The following is a 9,065-nucleotide window of genomic DNA, read 5'->3' as shown; positions in this document are numbered from 1 at the left end:
AAATGTTATCTGCTCTGCCTTAAGAAAATCAACTAAGGCCGGGCGTGGTGGCTCACGCCTGTAATCCCAACACTTTGGGAGGCCGAGGCGGACAGATCACCTGAGGTCAGGAGTTCGAGACCAGCCCGGCCAAGATGGTGAAACCCCGTCTCTACTAAAAATACAAAAATTAGCCAGGCATGGTGGCGGGTGCCTGTAGTCCCAGCTGCTCAGGAGGCTGAGGCGGGAGAATCACTTGAACCCAGGAGGTGGAGGTTGCAGTGAGCTGAGATCGCACCATTGCACTCCAGCCTGGGGGACAGAGCAAGACTCTGTCTCAAAAAAAAAAGAAAGAAGAAAGAAAATCAACTACGAGGACAGCAAAATAAATTAAAACATCCTTAAGCCCACTAGGACAAAAGAATGGGAGTAGTATTAGAATATAAAAAGTTTAATATTTCTTTGACATTTAACAGACTAGTAGGCATTGATTTAGTACAATAAAGAAAGCCACAACCTACGAAGAAAACAAATGTGATTCACTCAGAGAATCTCAGAAAGTTTCCTAGCTAGGAGTCAGCAAATAAGCAACCATGGGGGACTGGGTGAGGCTTAAATTCAGAAATAAAGTGATTACGTGTGTTCTAATTGCAGGCACACAAGACCGTTCCCGTGGCTCCCAGAAGGCTGCGGTCAGACGTTATCTCCAAGGAGGAAATTCTCCTTTAGACACTGGGGTCAGGTGATGCCCAACAACAAAGGTCCGCTCTGTTAAGGGGACCACTGGCCAATACGCCATCCCATACGGACTCCCAATCATCTCCCAGTGCATCACACTTAGTCATGAATGCAGAGCCAAGGACCACTGGCCAATACACCCACTCCCTACGGACTCCCAGTCATCTCCCAGTGCATCACACTTAGTCATGAATGCAGAGCCAAGGACCACTGGCCAATACACCCACTCCCTACGGACTCCCAGTCATCTCCCAGTGCATCACACTTAGTCATGAATGCAGAGACAAGGACCACTGGCCAATACGCCCACTCCCTACGGACTCCCAGTCATCTCCCAGTGCATCACACTTAGTCATGAATGCAGAGGCAAGGACCACTGGCCAATACGCCCACTCCCTACGGACTCCCAGTCATCTCCCAGTGCATCACACTTAGTCATGAATGCAGAGGCAAGGATCAGGAGGCACTGGGGACAGAGTTTTCATGTGAGTGGAACAAAATCAGTCTGACAGATTAAAGGAAACACAAAAGAAGAGAGAGAGTGCAGAAACAGAAAAAGTTATATTCGGAACCCTATTTCTAAGTATCTTTGAAGATACAAGACCTACAGCAAGAAAAAGATAGCAAGGAGAAGCAGCTCTTTCGTAATGCATATATAGGTGGTAAAATTATAAACACAGCTAAGACATGATGACACTAAAGGCAGAAAAGTGTTTGACTCCTGGGGGTACTGGGGTAGGGGCATGAGGAAGAGTGTGGTGACTGGAGAGGGACACCTGGGAGACTGCTAGGTTTTGGTAAGACTTTATTTCTTTACCTGTGTGGTTGTTGCATATTATATGGCTTTATAACCACTTGTTAAATATACATTTACATTTTGCACATCTTTCTATATGTATGCTGTATGTCTCTTTCTCTCACACACACACACAGTGATAAAGGGCAAAAATGGAGAAATTGAAAGGGCTCTTGGAAAATACAACTCTGACAATACCCCACCCTCCTTCCAAAAAAAGAAAAGATTGAAAGTGGAAGATGGAAAGTCGAGGTGGGAAATGAGGAAGCGTATTTGCAGATGATATAAAGAAAACATTCTCCCAAAATCATCCACAGAACTTGAAATAGAAAGGAAAAGTCTACTTTTAATGAAAACAGGAGTGAGGTGAAATGCCAAACCTCAACACAGAGAAAAAGCCTGCCAGCCCAGGGCAAACTGAGCAGGGCTGCTTGTGGGGAGGAGCAGAGTACTGACACTGAGGCCGCGGACACCATAAAGCCCAATGTGAGAGGCCCGTCCTAGAGGGCTCGCCACAGTGGCACTGGAGGCACGGGCTGCTACTAATTTCCCCCGGTCCCGGGTCACAGTCTAGAAACAGAGGTAGAGTTAGACGTGGGCCACCAAACCCACCACAGCCAGATGACAGGCTGGGGCAGAGCAATGGCCGCTGGATACCAAATATGACTGTGAGGCTCTACCTTGTCCTAGCCAGGGACCTGGCCCTCCATGAAATGCTTCCCTCTACCTACAGGAAAGAGACGGTTCAGGAGAAACAAAACATAGTCCAAAATGAGGAATCAGAATTAATTATAAATGCCTTAAAATAATGCAAAATAAGCAGAGTTACACAAGCAGAAAATGCATGCCCGATCCAGAAAGTGCATCCGAAACTGTAAAATGTGGCCACTGAGAAGCTGCACCAAATATTTTACCACTATTAACAACAGGCAGGCGCAGTGGCTCACGCCTGTAATCCCAGCACTTTGGGAGGGCGAGGCGGCTGGATCATTTGAGGTCAGGAGTTCGAGACCACCCGGGCCAACATGGTGAAAACCCATCTCTACTAAAAATACAAAAATTAGCTGGGCGGTGGTGGCGCTCGCCTGTAATCCCAGCTACCTGGGAGGCAGAGGCGGGAGAGTTGCTTGAGCCTCAGAGGCAGAGGTTGCTGTAAGCTGAGATCACGTCACTGCACTCCAGTCTGGGTGACAGAGAGAGACCCTGTCTCAAAAAAAACACGAAAAACAAAAAACAAACAAAAAAAAACAACAAAAAACAACAACAACAAAAGAATGCAAAATAATGAAACAATCGCCACGCTGAGCCAGAGGCAAATGGCCAACCACCAGACCACAGGCAGGCTATGACGGGCTAGTCGCCCTCTGCCATCCTGCTAAGGCACTGCAGTCATGTGAGCAAGCCTGGGCGAGATTAGCCAGAGCCAGCCCAGACCATGGGAACTCTTCAGCAGATCCTTAGGTTAACAAACTGTTGCTGTTTGAAGTGACTAAATTTGGGGATAATTTCCTAATCAACAGAAGCTAACAGACACACTTGGAAATTACAGATTTGAAATAGATGTGGAATGTCTCCCTCATCACCTATGTTCCATTGCCCTTGGAACAGGGGGGCTGTGAATCAATATGTGGCTTGTAGCTTTGTGTCTAGAAATAGCATAAAAAATTGTTGGGAAATCAAGGCGGTGGCTTCTGATTATCCATGTGGCCCGCAAGCACCCTGACTCTTGTTTGTGGCAGCCACATAGGCCCTGGATAGGTGAAAGGGCAAAGGGAGCTGTGGGTGCCCCAGGACACCAGCTGTGTCTCCCGGCCTGTATCCTCCTTTAAAGCCCAGTAAATGTAGCATCAGATTAAAGCTGTCTGTGTCTTGCAAGTCTGATGGCCAGCTTGAATCTGTAATCACAAGGGCAGTGTGTAGCAGTATTCAATACTGAAAGAGCTGAGACCTGTGAAATTTTGCACCAAGAAAGTGCAACCCGGAAATTTTATACCAACTATTATTTCAATCAAGTATAAACGCAATACAAACTGATTTTTGAATGTTCAAAGATATGGGAACATTGTTTATATGGAACTGCTTGGAAAATCTAGCAAACAACAATCATCAGTGAACCAAATGTTGATAGGGTATGAAAAGTTGCAGCCAGGGCCTGGTGACGAGCATGGAACCTGCCTGATGGTAGGAGAACTCAGTGAAAGAGACAAGAACGGGAACAGAATGTCAGCACTACAAATGTTAAAACCATCGCTGTGATCTGACTACCACGGAGTGTTTTGTGTGGCATCACTGATTTTCTTCTCTTTAAAACACAGGGCAGAAAAAGCATAGAAGTAAGAAAAAGTAGCAGAAAAGAAAAAATAAGCGTGTGATTCACAATGAAGATATGCCAGTTATGAATTCTAGAGATTAAATAACAGAGCATCAATGTTCTTAAAACAAAAAGTAGGCCGGGCGCGGTGGCTCACGCCTGTAATCCCAGAACTTTGGGAGGCCGAGGTGGGCGGATCACGAGATCAGGAGATCAAGACCATGCTGGCTAACATGGTGAAAGCCCGTCTCTACTAAAAATAAAAAAAATTAGCCAGGCATGGTGGCGGGCGCCTGTAGTCCCAGCTACTCCGGAGGCTGAGGCAGGAAATGGCATGAACCTGGGAGGCAGAGCTCGCAGTGAGCCAGGATCGCGCCACTGCACTCCAGCCTGCGCGACACAGCAAGATTCCGTCTCAAAAAAAAAAAAAAAAAAAAAAAAAAAAGTAGAGCATGCATAAGGAAAGACACAGACACAGGAGCACAGCAGGGAAAATTACATCACCTCTATCAGGCTGTGACTGCTGAAGAGAGCAATAGTAAGTCATGATGTAAAAATGTAAATCACATAGTTTTCTCTAATTGACAGATAACAAACTTGGCACCTTAAAAATATAGAATGCTTTTTTTTTTGATTCCACAGATCATAAAAAAGACTATATTTCAGACCACAAAACTTCAGTAATTTCTAAAAAGCATTTTTAATTATTTGATTAAGATGCAGTGAAATTAAATAAACAATAAAACTCCAAAACACTAAAAAACATACAGTTTTTGGAAGTTTTCTTATATCATTAAGGGCCAAAGAGAAAAACGTTGAAGAATATTTGTAAAAGAACTGACCACATATGACAACATCTGTATGACCCAGGTAGATCTGCACTCAGAAGAAATTCTAGAGCCTTAAATCATCATATTAATAAAAACAAGAAAAAACTTTAATATATCAACAAAATATAGACAAAATATATAAAATAGACAGAAAATTAAGGCAGAACTTACTGACTAAAGCAAAATGGTAGTAGTAGTAGTATTTTTTAATTTAAGAGCTGTATCTTTAGCGAAGAATTTAATATGTAAACTACCTTATTCAAGAAAAAAAGAGAATGATAGTACATTAAGCAAGAAATAAGTAAAGGTCAATCACAGATAGAGACCCCTGCAATAGACCACTAAGACTACTTAATTTCATGCAAAGATCGAACAGAGGCTTTGCCTAATCTCCAGGCCGTGGGAGTCTCAACCTGAGAGAGGAAGGAGTCTCTTCTCCTGGACCTGATAGTCCAGGGGAATCTGTGGGTTGAAGGTTCTGTTCACATGTTCCTATCTCACATCTCAGAGCCCTTCTTTCCATTGAGTGCCCTCACTTTGTGTAGGACCCCTTTTAGGGCTGAGAATTTAGCCTATAGTGAGTTAAATCATGGTCTCCAAAAAGATATATCCATGTCCCAGTCCCCCAAAACTATGCCTGTGACCTTATTTAGGAAAATGTTATTTGCAGATATAATTAAGTACCTCAAGATGAGATCATCTTGGGTTATCCAGGTGGGCCCAACATTCAGTGACATACAGAAGAGAAGACACACAGAAGAAAAGACAGAGAGTATAAGTCCATGTGAATATCCAGGCAGAGATGAGTGTTGCAATCAAGAGTCCAAAGAAGAGAAGACAAGCGTATGTTCCAAGCACACTTACCCAGTTTCTTGTTCTAGGCAATTCTGTGTTGAGCTCCTCTGGGGCAGAACAAAAGAGTATTGAAAGTATTGTTGTCTCTGTGGACCAAAGCCTGTACTGACCACAAAACAAAGCCCTTCTTGGATTCACCCTCAGCCCACACTCAATCATGTGGGTACATGGCAAGAAGAGACATGAAAAGATAAAATGAAAGAAAAGGGGCCTCTTTGTCTCAAATCCCAGAGAGCTGAAATCATGGCCTTCCTTCCGGATCAGGCTGAATGGTGGCCCCCAGGGAGATGAGTCCGTGTCTTATTCCAGGAACCTCTAATTGAGACCTTATTTGGAAAAAGAGTCATCAAAGATATAATTAAGGCTTTGAAATGAGATCATCTTGGATTATCTGGATGGGCCTTAAATCCTTTGAAGACACACAGGAAAGAATGATGTGGTCAGTTTTAACATGTAGATTGTATTTTAATTCAAGTATAGTGAGGCTGTGAAAGGAATATAAAAATCTCAGGACCCCAAACTCACTATGCCAAAGGGAAAAGTGAAGCTCAGTAACTGCATCATGCAAAAACTGCCTTCCATTTTGTTCCTAAGTAGATAGCTGCAAAGACAGAAGGCCACATGTCTCCCCCGGTGGCCTCCTTCACAAATTGCTCACAAGGAAATTCCTCGTGGGCCCCAAGAGCTTTACCCTAAAACAGAACGCTGTTCTATTTCACCTTGACAATGTAAACTAACAGCTTATCTTCACCGGTACCTTGACAAAGACAGGCCTAGAGGGCATCCCTTGGCTCACCTGAGAGGAATGCATATTTGAGCACCTCCTCTATGTTTACTTTATCTTATGCAAAAATGCAGACGCACTGAGCACTATGCATAATTCACTGTTTCGCTACCCACTCCTTTCACATGTAAAATGTAGATTCAGTAAGTGCTAATCAAAGCCTCCAAAGACTAACCACTTTCCTGTTTTGTCTACCTTCTCTCTCTTTTTTTTATCCTCTTTCTTCATCTGCCCTCCCTTTTCCCTTTAAATCAGGAGTGTCCAATCTTTTGGCTTCCCTGGGCCACATTGGAAGTATTGTCTTGGGCCACACATAAAATACACTAACACTAACAAAGCTGATGAGCTAAAAACCAAACACACAAACCAAAAAATGGCAAAAAATAAAATCCCATCATTTTAAGTAAGTTTAGTAATTTGCTAATTTGTGTTGGGCCTCATTCAAAGCCATCCTGGGCTGCATGTGGCCCTTGGGCTGTGGGTTGGACTAACTTGCTTTAAATATTGAAGTCCTCAAACCCTGTTTGCATGGCCACACTGGTGATCTACCTTGCTTTATATATGAAGTTAAGTTTGTAAGTATTAGTGAATATGCCTAATAATTTGATTTATTTGTAGCATTTGCATCTAGAGAATGCTTTAAGTCTCAGTTTGTTAGCCAATGGTGTAGTCACTAACTGTATTTTTAAAATAAAAAATGCTGTTGGTAAATCGTGACTACTGACCTGGCACTAAAAATGTTTAAACTTACATATTTTTGTCCCAGGAAAATGGTGATACTTTTCTAATTATGGAACAGAGACATGTGTATCCATTTCCTGCTTGTTATAAAGACCTACAGAATGCTGGCAATAGATTGAAACTATCTTCAGGAACTCTTACTACTATTACTACATAAGTCCATGCCATTGGGTCTAGAACTGACCAGCGACTCCTATTCCAAGTGGAGGTTTCCCTGCAGTCACATCCCTATCCTGTCTTACAGCTCTCTGTTAAATGCCAATCTTTTTCTTTTGCAGGGAAGAGCGTGATTAAAGAGCTCTTGTCTCCATATTGGAAACTGGCCCTGATCACTGTGGCAGCACACTGAAGTATGTGATAAATAATTTATGAACCTCGGAGGTCTGCTGTGGGGAGATATTCACCTTTGCTCCATCCGTGCACCACACATCATGCGTCAGCGCCAACACGGGCACATGCAGTTCTGCCTCAAGGTGGGTAAAGCTACACGTTCAACAAACCCGTGAGTAGAAGTGCACCAGGGGAGCTCTGCTGCCGCAACGAGACCACTTCTGGTAATTTGGGAGCAAACTGCTTTGACCAGGAACGTTGGGAGATTATACATAGAAAAGAGGTGTTGGAATTCCTTTTTATAAATGATAAATATTACCACAAAAGGATAAAAATGGAAGATGGTTTTGAATGTCGGCAAAACTGCCCGAGAACTTTAATTAGGACAATGTCGCCACAACGACTGCTTTCAAAACCATAACTTTCAGAATGCTCTGGGCACCACATGTGCCACATGAGACTTGTTAAGGCAATTTCCATTGTAACAAACAGCCTCAAAAAAAATAAAATAAAATAAGTTGCACATGCATCAAATTTGCTTTTAAAATTATACAGGATTTAAAAGAATTTTATGGCCAGATATATTGAGCAGAGCAAAAACTTTTAACAGAATACAGAGAATAAACAGAAACTATTTATTTATACATTATTCACAAATATTCCAAGTTCTTGTTTATATCATTTGCCTTTCATCAAAAGATAAAATAATAACACAGTGTTAACAGAAAAACTTCAGTAGAATTAAACTTTTGGGTTTTTTGAGACGGGTTTTGCTTTTGTTGCCCAGGCTGGAGTGTAGTGGCACGATATCTGCTCACTGCAACCTCCACCTCCCGGATTCAAGCGATTCTCCTGCCTCAGCCTCCCAAGTAGCTGGGATTACAGGCACGCACCACCACGCCTGGCTAATTTTTGTATTTTTAGTAGAGATGGAGTTTCACCATGTTGGTCAGGCTGGTCTCGAACTCCTGACCTCAGGTGATCTGCCCTCCTCAGACTCCCAAAGTGCTGGGATTACAGGCGTGAGCCACCGCACCCGGCCAGCTGAATTAAATTTAAAGGAGTTTACTTGAGCAATGAATGATGCGTGAATCAGCTCCCAGAATCGCAGCAGATTCAGAGAGACTCCAGCACAGCCACATCGTGGAAGAAAATTTGTAGACAAAAAAAGGAAAAAGATGTACAGAAATCGGAAGTGAGTTACACAAACAACTGGACTGGTTACAAGTTTGCCTTACTCGAACACAGTTTGAACACGCAGCAGTGTGTGAGTGGCTGAAGTATGGCTGCTGGACTGGCGATTGTTCCACGTACATACTCCTAAATTAGGTTTTCAATCTTGTTGTCCTATTAAGTTAGGTTATGGTTCCTCTACAAGGACTCAAGTATAGAAGTATAGAGTCCTTCCCAGGCCATATTTAGTTCGCTTTAACAATAGATAATTCTTTTTTACAATTTGAAGTGGCTGTGTTCTTAAATTATGAACTATTCCTTACATTTCTTTATATTAGAAATTCCTAGCCTTTAAAGTAACAAACAATACCTTTAATTTATTTTCATTAGTGCTTTCTGGCCAACAATACTGTAGTATTTATTAGAAACTCATAAATTAATTTCATCATAAAGAATTATTTGATAATGCTTACTCGATACAATGTGATTTTACATATAACTACACATTAAAATTGTAAGTGCCTTAAC

The 9,065-nt window shown here is 42.4% G+C and overlaps 2 annotated features.

The window, feature by feature from the left end:
- Positions 302 to 1,501: an enhancer, noted in NCBI's record as "P300/CBP strongly-dependent group 1 enhancer chr4:189326005-189327204 (GRCh37/hg19 assembly coordinates)". NCBI's record gives its function as "activates an origin of replication core promoter dependent on BRD2, BRD4, P300/CBP, MED14 and CDK7 cofactors, with strong dependence on P300/CBP, by STARR-seq in HCT116 cells {active_cell/tissue: HCT116}" and the evidence as "EXISTENCE:reporter gene assay evidence [ECO:0000049][PMID:35650434]".
- Positions 6,029 to 6,780: an enhancer, noted in NCBI's record as "OCT4-NANOG hESC enhancer chr4:189320726-189321477 (GRCh37/hg19 assembly coordinates)". NCBI's record gives its function as "activates a minimal SCP1, AML or CMV promoter by ChIP-STARR-seq in primed H9 embryonic stem cells {active_cell/tissue: H9 hESC(primed)}" and the evidence as "EXISTENCE:reporter gene assay evidence [ECO:0000049][PMID:30033119]".

This window comes from Homo sapiens, chromosome 4 (assembly GCF_000001405.40).
Source record: "Homo sapiens chromosome 4, GRCh38.p14 Primary Assembly".
NCBI lineage: Eukaryota > Metazoa > Chordata > Mammalia > Primates > Hominidae > Homo > Homo sapiens.
This window is presented reverse-complemented; position numbering and strand designations above follow the sequence as displayed.